This window comes from Homo sapiens, chromosome 1, assembly GCF_000001405.40.
Source record: "Homo sapiens chromosome 1, GRCh38.p14 Primary Assembly".
Classification (NCBI taxonomy): Eukaryota; Metazoa; Chordata; class Mammalia; order Primates; family Hominidae; genus Homo; species Homo sapiens.
Genome location: NC_000001.11, coordinates 2,322,898 through 2,338,017, shown reverse-complemented (window position 1 = coordinate 2,338,017; position 15,120 = coordinate 2,322,898). Strand labels below are relative to the sequence as shown.

Sequence of the window (15,120 nt, the reverse complement as noted above, 5' to 3'; positions counted from 1 at the left end):
AAGCTGAGCCCAAACAGACCCAGCCTCCTGTGCACCCCTCAGCAGCCCCTGACTCCTCCTTCCCTCCTGGGCACTGTCTTGGCTCCACCCTTCTATCCATCCTGGAGCTGGGTCTCTTCTGTTTTTTTGATGGTGTCACTGCCTGGTGGGGACACTCATCTGTGGCCCTAAAGCCACCGCCCCAGCCCCTGCCTCCCTCTCAGAACTCCCCTGTCCAGCCAGCTCTGGTGCCGACCTCCAGCCCTCACCACATCCCGTGGCCTCCTGCTAGCACCTCCTCCCAGTGGTGTGTGCAAGTGGGGGGCCCTCGGGGCAGCGGTGTCAGGACAGCTCCGAGCTGCTCGTAGGAACGTGGGCTCTGATGTGTGTGTGTGGAGGGGCTGCACTGAAGTTATCTCCTTCAGGCTCAGCCACTGACCATCCTTGTAAAAGAGACAGCAGGGTGGGCCCTGGGGGCTGCAGCTCCATCTGTGCGTGGGGGAAGCCAGAGGGGAGCCCCCATACCTCGCACCCTGGGACCCCGGGAGAGGGGCTGGAAAAAGCTAGGTTGGGCAAGGGCCTGCAGGGGTCCCACTGAGGGATGCACAGGCTGAGCCCGCCCACACCCGCCTCTGATGCCCGAGGACCTGGGGTCTGCCGCCACGTGGAGGGACTCGCAGCCACCCTCGGTGTCTCCCTCCACGCCTGTGGAGAACGGGTCCTGACGCCAGGTCCATCTTGATGGGCCGCTGGGGCAGAACCATCTTCCTCCTCATGCTGCGCTCCGAGGAGGGCACACAGCTGTACTGTTGAGCGCCAGCCTCTCCGGCCAGGGCCCCGGTCCCGGCCCTACCCTGGAAGCGAGTGCCTCGGCTGACGGGGGCTGCTGATGGGAGACCCTTCCCACTGCAAAGCGCTGGGCTCCCTGGCGCTGGGGTGGACTCAGAAGGGGGCGGGGGCGTCAGAGGCCGTGGACACGGAGGACCCCCACCTCCCCTGTCGGCGGCCGGAGGGAGCACCCAGGATGGACAGTCCCTGCCCCCTGACCTGCCCCCACCAAGATGGCATCGCGACTGGCGTCTGTGCCCGCTGCCCTGGCCAGAGCCACACTTCAGCACAGCCCTGTGGGGCTCCCTCCGTCTCCGCCCTGAGCCCCTCATAGGGTCTTTCTTCATTCTGTCTCCTCAGCCAGGGGACATGCGCCCCATTGTCCCGGGGCCTGTCAGCGAGTGGAGCAGGGCTGTGCCGAGTTCACAGATGTCCTCCTGGGGCCGCCCCCGCCTGGGTACCACCCCTTCCTGTTCCTGGACAGCCTCCACAAGGTGGGTGCCCACGGGGGGCGGGGAGGCCACCCCACATCACTCAGACTATCCCTGCCCACCCACCACCTCAACACCCAGGCCATGTGTGCCCCAGGGGGGTTGGAGCAGAGCTCCTAGGCCCACCTTCTGAGCCTTTCCTTCTCCCCTCCTCCTGCCCAATCTTTCTAGAAGGCAGGCGGCAGATCCAGAGGCGGCCTGCACCCCAGGGGGACACCACCCACGGCACAGGAGCCTCCTGGAGGCAGCAGGTAGGATGAGCCCACCCCACCTGCAGGTGTTCGGAGGGTCAGCTGTGGCCTCCTCATCAGCTGGGCCAGGAGGACGGGGAAGGCCCAGGGGAGCCAAGGGCCTGGTCTGGGAAGACAGTGAGCCTACACGGGCCTCGCTCCAGAGAGCCCCCCCGCCAGCCAGGGTCTCGCGGGGCTAACAGCTGCCCTGCGACTTGCCTGGGCTGGCATGAAGTGGGTGGAGCTGGAGCCGGTCCATCTGCTTCGATCACCACAACTCCCAGACCCGCCGGGCGGACCAGGCTGTGGGCATGCAGAAGCAGAGAGGCAGGAGGGGTGCGGGGCCTCTCAGAGGAAGACGGCTGGTGGCCAGGGTTCAGGGCAGTGGCTTGAGGGGACTCTGTGAGCTGGAGGACAGGAGTGGGACCAGGTGCACACCGCGGCACGTGCAGGCGGGGACACCGTGGGGGGTTTGTGGCCGTCACATCTCACCATCCTGGGCCTGGCAGTGCTACGGGCACAGCACATGCAGGGCCGTAACCGGCCGGTTCTACCAGGAGGAAGCTGGGGCTCGGGGCTCGGAGTCCAGCAACAGCTGCCACCTCAAATCGGGACTCTGTCTACAAATTGGGGGCAGCTGCGCGCTGGGCTGGGCTGGGCTATGGAGGCGAGGAGGCCCCCGCTGATGTGCCCTGGGGACCCGTCCCACCAGCCCTCGCCTGGCCCCGCACACTGTGGAGGAGCTGCTGGGTTGCTCGCAGAGTGACCAGCACCCGCCCCGCTCCCACCCGCCTGCCAGGCACTCGCTCTTGTTTCCTTGGGTGGAAGCTGTGACGTTTGGGATTCCTGATTGGAGCAAAAGATTTTGGTGACGCGGTGCACAGACCCTGCAGGAAAAATCACCTGCTCTTGAGAGACATGAGCCCTCCTGGGACAGGGGTGGCACCGGGGGCCTTGGGCAAGGCAGGTGGGTGGAGAACCAGACCCCTGTCGCCGCCCTAGAAGGGCTTCAGGGGCAGAGGAGGGCTCCAGGCATCCCCAGCGCCTGCCTGGGACCAACACGGGGTCTTGGGCCCTCGAGACCTCCTCTGCCTCTGCCCATCCGGCAAACAGAAGCGGACGTGAGTGTGAGTGTGAGTGTGCCGGGGCCGCCTCCTGCTTCCGCCGGGGGTGGGGCGGGTATGGAAATAGCCAAGGCAGTGAACACAGGCCCACCGGTGGAGCTCCAGGGAAGAGGTCCGGCAAGGTGGGAGGAGGGCCTGCTGCAGCCCCCTGCAGTGAGGCCCCTCGTGGGGAACGCTCGGGGGCTGCCAAGGTGCTGGCACTGGCAGGCCTTCGATGCCACTCACGCATGGGGGAGGCGCCGCCCTCTGTCCGGCTCTGAGTCATGGTTTGTGAATTAAATATGAAACTCACTTTGTACGATAACTTCAGAAGCAGAGACTAAAAAACAGCCAAGATCCTGCAGGTGCTGGGGCCCTGTTTGCCCAGTGACTCGGCCTCAGGAGCGTCTGCGAGAGCCAAAAGCCGAGACATTCTGTCACTCCCACAGACTCACACAGACCCGAACGCCCAGGGCGGCACCTCCACTTCGCTCCAGAACCGTGGCAACCTCCGCGCTGAGGGTGATGTTGGAACGTCTTATTTCAGCAGAAAGAAGGCTTTCGTTCTTTTCCACCTGAGAGAACGGAGGGGTCGGCGTCTGCTCCCAGCCTGGGCCTCCCAGCCAAAGGGCTCGCACTGTCCTCGAGTTAAGTGTCGTTGGACTAGGATTGTTTCAATCCCAGGACGACCTGGCCGCGGAGTCGGAGTGTTCAGTGTTCAAATGATGTCGTCTCTTCGGGGCACACATCTGTGACCAGCGGCCACTTCCCCTGCCTCCTGCCGGCTCCACGGCCACACAGCCAGGGCCCTCTCGTCGTGTTGGGACAGGCAGCCCAAAACCAGGCCTGCTCCCCCAAGGGAGCCCCGCCTCTCCATGCAGCTGGCCTTACTACGTCTTCTGGGTGCGGAAACCCTGGGGAGTCTTTCCCATCGGGAACTCTCCGTAAGCTCTGCCCGCTCCTGGGTTGAGAACCCAGCATGGAGGTGAAGGGCTGCACACTTGCAGGCCTCTCCGCCATGGATCATGGGGCGGCAGCGACTTAGAGACAAACCTGGGCCTGTGCCTCTCGTCCTCCATGGAGCCTGACCCCCACCACCAGTTCCTTGTAGCCACGTGATCCCTTACCGTTCTTACACCTGCTGCCCCCCCACCACCCAGAGGCCCTCAACTGTGGCTGACCGGGGCGTCGACCTCACGACCTCTTCCAGGACCTCCCCAGCTCTGTCCCCGCCAAAACCCCCCACAACCCATCTGGGTGTTTGTGTGATGGCCCCCTCTTAGGAAAGAGTGGGGGACCCTGCCTGAGGCTCCCCCAGCTGTGACCCCCATGCCTTCTGTCTGCTCTGCGGTGAGGAAGAAGCTCTGGGGTCTCCCATGCACCCCTCCCTCTGGTCTGGGTCCCAGCTCCCCCAACCAGCGTCCAGACCTGGCTCTGGGCCCAAAGAGCCCACTTTTCGGAATTCTAAGAAAGCTGTTCTTTCCAGCAGCCAACCTGGCTCTGGCAAATCCAAAGGCCTCCAACACTCAGTCGGCTGTGTCTGGTTTGCATTCAAGGAACCCTCGCTGTGTCGTGGCCGAGTGGTTCCAGGCAGGGTCCTCAGCCCGTGCCAGGCACAGGAGAGGGCTCACTGTCGGCAGGCAGGGCCAAAGGAGTGGAAGCTCCTGGCACCGTTGGGGCTGCCGCTTCCGACAGACATGCTTGTGAATGGGGTGGAGAAGGGCAGGGGCAAGGGCCGGCTCTCAGCGCACCCTCAGGCTCCAGCCTCAGCAGCAGCACCTTGAGCCAGGATCCTGCCGCTAGCACCCTGGAGTCCCAGGAGACCCCTGAGGTCCGAGACCTCCCTCGGGTCCCCCTACAGTGTGGCCCTGTGACTGACAACTTTGTTCTGCAGGAGCCATGGCCCCTACCCTGGCACGGTCCTGTATTGTTCCAGCGTCTCCAGGCCCGAGGCCACTCACTGCACTCAGCTGTCACTCACTCACCAGCTGTCCCCAGTTGCCATCGCTGGGGACCCCCTTTCCATAATGGGGAGGAGGCTTCGGGAGCTGGGCCCGGGGCTGACCCGGCTGCTGGGTCCCAGCTGGCATCCCCACTGCTGGGCACAGAGGATGTGGGGCCTGTCCCCGGCCTGTTGCAGCGGGGCCAGCCCAGGCCCTGCTAGACGTGCCCACTGGCTGGCATAATTACGCACCAGGAGCATCTCCAGGCGGGAGCCCGATGCTCACTGCACTTCCTGCCTGGAACATTCTGGCCACCCCCAGTCACGCCCCCCAACACCTGGTCGCCTTTTTATCCTTCCTAAGGACCCCAACGATGCCAGCTTCCTGGGTTCCGTGTTTTTATAGTCCCACTCTCCAGTTCCAGAGCAAGCCCCTTGGGGGACCCGTGGGGGTTGGCCAGAGGTCAGTTGGGTGAAGGCTCGGAGGCATCCTCGTAGGCAGCCTGGTGGGCTGCACCCCATGGAGGTCACGGAGCCCCAGCCCGAGCCCCAGTCCCCGACAGAGCTTGGCCCCTCGAGGCGCAGCCTGGGGGCCCCTCTGAGACCCTGGGGTCCTGGCTCCGGCTTCTCCCCTCGTCTCCGCACAAGCCCCAAAGCCTCACTCACTCATGGAGGTTTTCACCCCTCCCAGGATCCCAACAGGAGCTAACAAAGGGTTCTCCTGGCTGCTCCAAATCTCGAGGCACAGACGAGATTCTGCAGTGTGGACAACAGGAGACCAAGTGAGACGGGAGTGTGACCCCTTCCATGTCCAGACGCCACGTCGCGCCCTCCTGGCCCCCAACCTGGGCCTGTGCCGGAGGTCTGCCGTGCCCCTCACAGCACTGCCCATTCCCCCATCATAGAAGCCCAGGTCCTAGCGGCCTGCGTGGGGTCGATGTCAAGACAGAACTGCCGAGGGGGACAATGGGAGAAGCAGTGAGTCCGGGGCCAGGGGTCGCCCATCCCACTGGAAGAACCTGAGTGTGGACCAAGGACAGGGAGCATTCCTTCCGATGCTGGAGTCCGTGAGCAACAGTCAGGGTGGCCGGGCTATGCTCACCAGGGTGTGCTGAGACCGGGGCTCTAGGGGAGCCCCCTGTCCCTCAGAACAGCCACATCTGTGTCCCCTTCGTGCAGCTGCACAACAGGAGCTCCTCTCAGCATCCACTGGGGGACGCCGGTGCCCTCAGGAGGACAGGCAGCCCCGCTGGGCACCTGGTGAGCGTGGGGTCACCTGGTGCACCCCCCACCGGTTGGCTCCCTCAAAGCCCACATCAGAGCCTGTCACTGTCATCCAGGAGGCTCCAAACAATAGAAATGACTGAAAAAAAAATCGACAAAGATGAAAAGTGACACACCAGCCTGTAATTTCGGGAGAGGCGCAGCGGCGGGAGAGGCGCAGCGGCGGGAGAGGCGCAGGGGCGGGAGAGGCGCACGAGGGAGAGGCGCAGGGGCGGGAGAGGCGCACGAGGGAGAGGCGCAGGGGCGGGAGAGGCGCACGAGGGAGAGGCGCAGGGGCGGGAGAGGCGCACGAGGGAGAGGCGCAGGGGCGGGAGAGCCGCACGAGGGAGAGGCGCAGCGGCGGGAGAGGCGCAGCCGCGGGAGAGGAGCGGCAGTGGTTACATAAGAAGGACGGCGCATGCGGGAGAAACGCGCGCCTTTGTTACAACTCTCAGGCAGGATCCTGCAAAGTCGTCTTTGACTGTTCCCTAAAATAGGCAGAGGAAAGAGGAGCCAAGGTTCCTTCACAAGCTGTGCCCCAAGGGAAGCCCGGGTTTCATGGGCACAGAGGCCATGTCTGCCCTCCCAGAGCCCAGCCAAGGCCACCAGGTCCCCCTCAGGCACGCTCTGACCCTGCGAAGCCCTCCAGGGCTTGGTCACCCATGTGCAGGGTGGCCAGAAAGGAGGGTCCTGCTGCGAGGGCCCTACAGACACAGCCAGAGGCTGAGGCCCGGCATCCGCCTGCCAGGGCACCCCCAACTGCCCCAGCAGGTCCAAGGATGTCAGGGAGCCCCTGGGAGAAGCCCGCCCACCCCTGTGGCCACGTGGGGCCAAGTCCAGGCGTGGAGGGCCAAGGCTGCCCTGGCCCGTGCTGCCTCTGGCAGGATGACAGGGAGAGGTGCTGACCAGGAGAGGGGTCCCGAGTGGCTCTGGGGAGGCTGCACGAGGGGCTCCTGCGCCAGCCGCTGAATCTGGCTGCCAAGTCGCTGCCTCACCATGTGCCCCATGTCCACCTGGGGCTGAACCCCAGCTTGTGGGAGGGGAGACAGGGTGGACGGGATGGCCCTCCCTGTAGTGGGCGGTAGACACAGACCAGACATGAGGGCCCCGCACGTGCCCGCCGCCTGCTGCCCTGGGAGGGGCCGCGTTTCTGAGAGGGCCTCTGGCTGCGTTCCTGCAGAGACATTCCAGGCGTGTTACGGAATTCCACAAAAGGACAAAGCCCTGTCGGTTCTGAAAAGATGTGAGATTATGTCAGCTGCAGAAGAAGGACTCGGTTTAATCAACGTGGCCATGACTTTGCCCAGCCACACAGGAGAATTCCACAGGAACGGTGGGGGTGGCCCTGGCCCCAGAAATCCTCATTCCATGCTTCATGATAGGAAAACGTGGCCACCCGAGCCCCATCAGCCCGGGACGGGGTCCCTCAGCCCGACCACAGGCACGGGTGTGCGCGGCGACCTTGTGTGTCATTGCTCAGTGGTGGCTGTCGGCATCCAAGCTCCTCCTCCCTCCTCGGCTCCGAGAAAAATGGGCTTAATTAAGACTTCTGCGATTAGTCATTTAATCAGTCATTAGGCCAACACAGATGGAGTCAATTAATTTTTTTTACTTGAAAAGATCGTGGATGCTCCACAGCCCACCGAGCCCCTTCCTGGCTCTGTCGCCAGTGACCGCAGAGTGTCCCACACAGGCCTTCATCCCCTTTGAAAGGCCACCGGTGGGGACAAGCCAGCACCTGGGCTCCTCACCTGTCCCAGGCCCAGAGGACGAAGGACACCGACCCGTTCCTCCCTCGTCTGCCACAAAGAGGTGACAGGAGCCAGGAGAATGGCCTTGGAGCCAGCAGCCACCACTGGTGCCTGGAGACACATGGGGCGAGAGCCTGGCCACCCACTGGGCCTATCGGGGTTGGCTGGGTCTGAACAGGGACAGGACTCAGGGTGGCAATGTGTCCGTTCTCTGAGCGTGAGTCCTGGCCAGCACGCTGTGGCCAGTTAGGGGCAGGCCTGGCCAGCAAAGCAGCCTGTGACTCGCAGCCCAGGTGGGGAGGCCTGTGCCGCTGGCTTGCTCAGCCGAGGGGTGCAGATTAAGGAGGCACAGAGAAGCCCAGTAACTGCTCCCACCCTGGCCCCAAGATGGGCAAATAGGCAGTTCCCATGGGCACAGGCCAGGGTCCCCCCTCACCCGGAGCTCCCCCCTCACCCGGAGCTCCCTCTAGTCCTCTCCTGGGCACGCTGGTCTCCGCCATAAACACACAAACACAGTCAGCCCAGCAGCCCAGCCTGTCCCTTGGCCTGAGCCTGGCCTGCTCACGGCTGGTGCCATCTCTGAGCATTCTTGCTGGTGCCTCCTCCACGCTGTACCTGCACGGGGCCCAGCCCAGTGGGGCCTTGGGGAACACTATCTGAAATAGACCCTCGACAGACCCAAAGGGGCCCACGTGATGCGGTGGTGACTCCGGCCTGCTCGGCTCACCTGCCCACCCTCCCCAAGGGCTCTGCCTCCTCTCTGGGCCTTGCCACCTGCTGACCCCGTGGCCAGGAGGCCCCACTCAGCCCAGCCCCTCCATCCCCAGGCACCCAGGAGACCCACTGGGCAGTGGGTCTCAGGCTGCACCTGGCTGTGGTCTTCATGGGGCCTGGCCCCAGGGTGGGGGATTGGTGTCCCGCAGGCGGGGGGCTGGGCCCCCAGGGATGAGAACTCCCAGGACAATGGGATCGGCTGCAGGGAGGGCACTGGGAAGCTGGGGGCACCGGGTGCCCTGGCCCTACTGCTGGAAGCGCCTCCAGGTGGGAGTTCAGCCACGAGAGAAAGGGATTGACTGGGTTCTTCTTTAGAAACTTTTAAAGGTTGAAAAATGAACCCTGTCTTGTCCAAGCAGGGATACTAAACCAAAGCAGGTGTGAGGGCCGGGCGGGAACAGCTGGGCCTGCAGACGTGCCCAGCGCTCAGCGGGGATGTGGAATGATAACCCCACAGCAGACGGAGGGGCTGGGGCAGGGCGGCCGTTAACTCTTCGCACACCCACACCGGCAAGGGCCCACAGGTGAACAGGCTCCCCCAAACAGGGAACACCCCTCAGGCTTTTCAAGGCCTGAAGCTGACCGCCCACTGGGGACAGGGCACCTGGGTGTCCACGGTGGGCACCTCCCCAAGGCTTGGGCCCAAGAATCCAAGCTCTGACCTTCTTCGACCTGGGAAAGCAGTCACAAAACCACCGTCATCTCCCTGGGCTGCAGATGCCTGCGGGTGCAGAGGGGCCTCCCTGGGCGGGTTCCCTTGGCAATGTGGCCCCCAGTTCCTCGGCCCAGGCAGGAGGCAAGAGGCCTCCCTGGTGCCGGCACATTCTCCGGGTGTTCCATGGGGCAGGACACACAGGCTGTGCTCCCCGGGAGAGGAGCTGGGGCTGGCGTCTGCACCCATCTGTGTCTGTGCCTGGGGCTGTTACAGAAAGCACTGGCCCCTGGCTCTCATTTCTTGGGGTTACTAAGGAGGTGACAACAGTTTCCAAGCTGGCCCCAGATCTGCGGCCAAGGGCCCTGATTTTCAGACTTTCACAGGGGCTCCCGGGGCTGCAGAAAGCCGCAGGGCGTGCCTCCTGCACAGCAGGCAGGGGAGCCTGGGCCCTTCTCTGAAAGCCGCACCCGGCCACCTCCAGGTGACAGGTTCCTCCTGATTGTGTCTTCCTTGACTCTTGCCTCACTGGCTCCCGGCACATCCTGGTGGCCCTAGAGGCCACGTGGAACCCCAGAGCTGGGCAAAGCCTCCTGCCCCTTGTCACCAGGATCTGCCTGGACTCTCTGACTCCCAGGCATGGCCCTTACTGCACCAGTGGGCGCCCTTCTCCAGGAGCCCGGACACCAGGCCAGGCTGCAGGAAGGGGGTCCCCTGGGCCTCACAGCCCCGCTGCAAACCGCCCTCCCTGGCCTGGCAGCAAACTGGCCTCAGGCCCAGCTCTAACTTCATGCCCAGGTCAAGGCACACCAAAGCCGTGCATGAGGAACGTGTCCGCGTCATGGACTGGAAGACTGAGGACAGCAAAGGCCGAGCCTAGGCCCGAAGGGGTGGGTCCGGGTAGACAGGGTCAAGGGCCACAGGCTGCCAGAGGTCCCTTGCTCGGCCTGCACTCGGCCAAGGCCTCTCTGATGCCGCTCCCTGGAGCTCTGCTCGGTGGCTCGCTGCTGTCTGCACACAGAAGCCTGTGACGGGCTCCTCGGGAGGCCTCTTGGCTTCTCGGAGCATCTGGCCTGGGAAGATGCAGTAAGGGGGTTGCCAAGACCAGGAGCTCATGCGGGGACGCCGAGGCGCGATGCGGGGCCTTGGGAAAGCGGCCCTCACCCGTCAGGGCGGCCAATTCGGCCAATGGGCCATTCTGGTCACCGCCAGAGGCACAGGCAAGAGGAGGGAGCCGGGCGCAGCACCTTGTTAGCCTTGCAGAGGTGGTGCCGCCTGCCCGCCGCGCCTGCCCCTCCTCGTGGCCCTCCCCCTGTGCCGCCTCGTCCACCCCATCTCCTGTCTGTGCTTCTAAAAGCCGCACGGGCCACTCGCAGCCGTCCACAGCCTCTGGGCCTGGTGACAGCGATGGAGCCTCTGCAGCCTGGACACCGCCCACTGTGTTTCAGTGTTTCTGTGTGTTTCTGTGTTTCTCTGTGTCTGTGTGTCTGTGTCTCTGTGTTTGTTTCTGTGTTTCTGTTTCTGTGTGTTTCTGTGTTTCTGTGTTTGTGTTGCTGTGTTTCTGCGTCGCTGTGTTTCTGTGTCTCTGTGTCTCTGTGTTTGTTTCTGTGTTTCTGTGTGTTTCTGTATTTCTGTGTCTCTGTGTTTCTGTGTTTGTTTCTGTCTGTGTGTTTCTGTGTGTTTCTGTGTCTCTGTGTTTGTTTCTGTGTTTCTGTGTGTTTCTGTGTCTCTGTGTTTGTTTCTGTGTTTCTGTGTGTTTCTGTGTGTTTCTGTGTCTCTGTGTTTGTTTCTGTGTTTCTGTGTGTTTCTGTGTCTCTGTGTCTCTGTGTTTGTTTCTGTCTGTGTGTTTCTGTTTCTGTGTCTCTGTGTTTCTGTGTTTGTTTCTGTGTTTCTGTGTGTTTCTGTGTGTTTCTGTGTCTCTGTGTTTGTTTCTGTGTTTCTGTATTTCTGTGTCTCTGTGTTTCTGTCTTCGTTTCTGTCTTTCTGTGTGTTTCTGTGTGTTTCTGTGTCTCTGTGTGGGCGCCAGTGTGTCCACAGCGCGCGTCTGTGGGGACGACACAGGCCTCAGACGTCCAGCGCTGCAGAACAGCCACACACAGACCCTGGGTGAGGCCCGGGTCGCTGTGTCTTCACCCTGATCCCCAGACACCAACCCCGACGGGGAGGCCGAGACTGCCAGGCCGATGCCAGGCCAGGCCTCCGAAAGTCAGGAGGGAGCAGGATGTGTCTGCGCGGTGGTGGCAGCTGCTGCCTCAGGCAGAACTGGCAGGAGATGGCGCCGGGGTGGTGCGGACTTACTGGGGCCTCCAGAGGGCAGCCGGTGCCAGGGCCGTCATGGCCAGCGCGTGAGGGACAGGAGTGAGGGACCAGCACCCGCATGAAGGTGCAGTCCCAGGCACGCAGTGGGTGCCCAGACGCACCCCCAGTCCACCGCCCAGGGCTCCTGCACCACCTCCCCATGTGCGGTCCCTGTGGACACTGGCCTCGGGCCTGCTCGCCGTCTGTGGGGCACCGATGCCTGCAAATCTGCACCACCTCCTCCCTAGGCCGAGACTCCCGAGCTCCTTGCTGGCTCTGCCCGTTCTCTCAAAGCCCTGGGGGTTCTGTAAAAGCTCTCAGGATTCCTGTAATCCTGCCTCCTTTCTCTTAGGCTGGCAGCCTGGCAGACTAGTTCTTCTCGGTGCTGAATTATGTACCCCGCTTCCCCAACTCGCCCGCACTCCTGTGTCTTACGTGGGTCCTGGGGTCCGGCAAAGCCTGTTCTCCCCACTCGAAATGAAGTCATTTCAAAGTCTTGTCTTTCATTCTTTTTCACCCAGTTGCTGCCTGTAGGATTTAAGTTTGTCGACGGGTAGGAACCTGGAGAGTCAAGGAGCCCTTGGCTCTCTCCGAGCTCTGGGTGGGCTGTTGACCCCCTTGAGCCACAAGTGACAGGAACTGGCCAGCCACAGCGGGCAGGACGGCGGGAGGAGGCCGCGGGAGGGTGCCAGCCCAGCAGGCCTCCCCAGGCCCATTTGATGGGTAATTCCGGACACAGCCCAGCCCGGCACACCTGGGGCTTCACACAGAAAGAACATCTCAGCTGGGCACGGTGGCTCATGCCAGTAATCCCAACACTTTAGGAAGCCGAGGTGGGAAGATCATTTGAGCCCAGGAGTTTGAGACCAGCCTGGGCAACATAGTGAGACCCCATCCCCACACAAAAAAATTTAAAAAGTAGCTGAGCATGATGGCACGTGCCTGTAATCTTAGCTACTTGGGAGGTTGAGTCTGCAGTGAGCCATGATCAGGCCACAGCACTCCAGCCTGGGCAACAGAGTGAGACCCTGTCTCTATTGCTAAAAAAAAAAAAAAAAAAAAAATCAACAAAGGCCAGGTGCAGTGATCCCAGCACTTTGGGAGGCGGAGGTGGAAGGATTCTCCTGAGCCCAGGAGTTTGAGACCAACCTGGGCAACATAGTGAGACCTCCTCTCTAAAAATTTTTTTAATTATCTGGGCATGGTGGCACACTCCTGTGGTCCCATGGGCATGGTGGCACACTCCACACTCCTGTGGTCCCAGCTCCTTGGAAGGCTAAGGCGAGGGGATTGCTTGCTCGAGCCCAGGAGTTGGAGGCCGCAGTGAGCTGTGATTATGCCGCTGCACTCTAGCCTGGGTCACAGAGCCAGACTCTATCTAGAGAAAGAAAGGAGAGAAAAAGAGAGAGAGAGAGAGAGGAGAGAGAGAGAAAGAGAGGCAGAGAGAGAGAGGAGAGAGAGAGAGGAAGAAGGAACAAGAGAGAAAGAAAAGAAGAAAGAAAAAAAAGAAGGAAGTGAAGGAAGGGAAGGAAGGAAAGGAAGGAAGGGAGGGAAGGAAGGGAGGGAGGGAGGGAAGGAAGGAAGGGAAGGAAGGGAAGGAAAGGGGAGAGAAAGAAGAAAGTAAGATGTATTTCCGAAGTGCATCTCACTGCCCGGGGAGGAGGGTGGGTGTCCACACAGAGCCAGCCCCTCGTCCTTGCAGCAGGAGCATCGGAGGCACCTGCCGGGCCCAGCTTCCTCACGTGCAGGGACTGCCTCCTCCCCGCCAGGGCCATGGCCACGTCCTCAGGGCCCACCTGCTTCCCTGACCCAGATCCTGCCTGGCCATGGCCCTGCCCCAGCCCGTGGGTGCCCCGAGGCGCTGTCCAGGCAGGAGGAACAGGCCCATCACTTGTTGCAGTTCAGAAACCCTGGTGGGTGGTGGGCCCCCCCAGAGACTGCCTCAGGGCAGGAGCTGCACCCCTCAGGGAGCCAGGGCAGTGAGTGTCTCCACGGGGAGGCCCCGGCAGGACCCCTGGGCCCCTCCCATCCTCACTGCTACCTCTCCTTTCCCAGTCATGGCACTCCCAGGTGACACTGGGCCTCTGTTCCTCCAAGGGGGCACCATACCACCGCCGGGCCTCCTGGTCCCTCTTGCTGAGACTTCCGCCGCTCCTAAGTCGCTCCCTGCAGGCTCCAGCCTCGCCGTCTCTCAGGGGCTCAGGGTCTTTCCCGCCCTCCGGGATCTTCTCAGTTGCACCCTGGGAGGCCTCCGCCTTGTCAGAAGACTGTGGAAATGGGGTGGTCGGTCCCACTCCTGCTCCAAGGCCATAAGCACATCAAGAATTTAGACAAAGAGGATTTGCACAGGGCAGCCCACGGTTCCGAGGTGCAGAGAGCTGGGTGCAGGCTGCCAGAGGACTCTCCCCGTCCTGCCCATGGCCCCGAGGTGGGGTTCGCAGGCCTCTGCTGTGCTGGGGCCCTGAATCTGCCCTGGAGCCACTAGCCCTGGTTCAGGTCAGGGATGCCATGTCGTCGGGGCCCAGGCAGGGCATTCAGGGGCCTCACTGTGTCGTCTCCACAGGCCTGAGGGGAGAGCCACGGAGGAGCAGGCTGCGGCAGCACACCTAGGTAGGTGGACAGGGCCCAAGTCCATCGCCGGCTGTGCCACTGTCTGGAGAGGCGAGGCCGCAGCCCAGGGCTGGAGGTGGGGTTGGGGGAACTCGGCCCGGGGCCCCCAGAGGTAGGTGGCAGTGGGTGGGGGACTGGGGAGCAGCCAGGCCCTCCCAGGGACCTGAATGGGAAGGGGGCTGGTGGCTTGGGGGCTGGGGACGGTCCAGAAAGATTTGAAGCTGGGCCGACACAGCCCTTGATGTGGGGAATGTCCTAGAAAGGAGGAAGCCACGGGGGCAGGGAGCACGGGGACTCGGAGGCCTTGGGGTCCAAGGGGAGCCGAGGGGAGCTGTCAAGGCCCACAGTGGCTGAACCATGAGGAGCTGCTCCCCAGCAAGGCCGGCTGCAGGGCTTGGTGGGCCTGGGCTGGGCGGAAGGCTCCTCCCAGCGTGGGGGCTGCTGTGGGGACAGCAAGGAGGGGTGCAGCGAGGGCCTGGAGAAGGCTCAGGTGCAGACCCTCAGCCGTGGGGCCTCCTCCAGTCGCCCCACAGCCTGGGCCTGGCACCCCCCCACCAAGCCAGAGGGGCCGAATGCCAGGGCACCTCAGCTACACAAAGGCTCGGACCCCTAGCAGGACCTGGGCACCGCGGCTGACTGGCTGCCTGACGGAGAATGGAGCCTCTCTGTCACCTGGGCCAACATGAATGACCCTTCGTCTGGTGTCTCTGGGGTTCTGGCTGGAGAGCCAAAGGCTGGAAGGTCTGGACCCGCTGCTCACTGGGGTCTGGATGCCACCGTGGAGCTGCCTCTGGCGCAGCGGGAGAACAAGCAGAGCCACCCTGGTCGTGGGGACGGCACCCGTGTGGCCGGGGCTGTAGCCAGTGAGGCCTTGGTGACGGGAGCGGCTGGAGTGCCACGCGGTGTCCCCCGTGGTCCCACAGCAGCCCTCACACCATCAACCGGTCCACCGCGTCCCAGCCATCCCAGGAGGGGGCGGGGACATCTCTGCAGTGACAGGAATCGGCTAGGCGCTGGCACCTGTGCGCAGCCGCTCGGCCAGGGTTTATGTGCTCGGCGGAGACAGCCCTGGGGGTGAGGAGCGAAGGGAGATCCGATTCAGGGGCCACTTGGGGCTAAGCCATGTACGTATGGCCGAGGCCCTAAGTGAGAGCTGGCCCAGGGCTAGATCACGTGGCCGTCGAGGCCCGGCCTGCCGC

General features: G+C 63.0%; 1 protein-coding gene across 1 annotated transcript in view; it reads left to right on the top strand.

Moving 5' to 3' along the window:
• The window catches only part of MORN1 (MORN repeat containing 1), a 70,302-nt gene that overhangs the window by 53,537 nt on the left and 1,645 nt on the right, over nt 1–15,120 (top strand). The window contains exons 11-13 of the mRNA NM_024848.3: nt 1,168–1,301; nt 1,470–1,549; nt 13,875–13,921. Of these exons, the coding sequence (NP_079124.1) occupies nt 1,168–1,301; nt 1,470–1,549; nt 13,875–13,921 (261 nt within the window). The remainder of the gene's footprint in view (nt 1–1,167; nt 1,302–1,469; nt 1,550–13,874; nt 13,922–15,120) is intronic.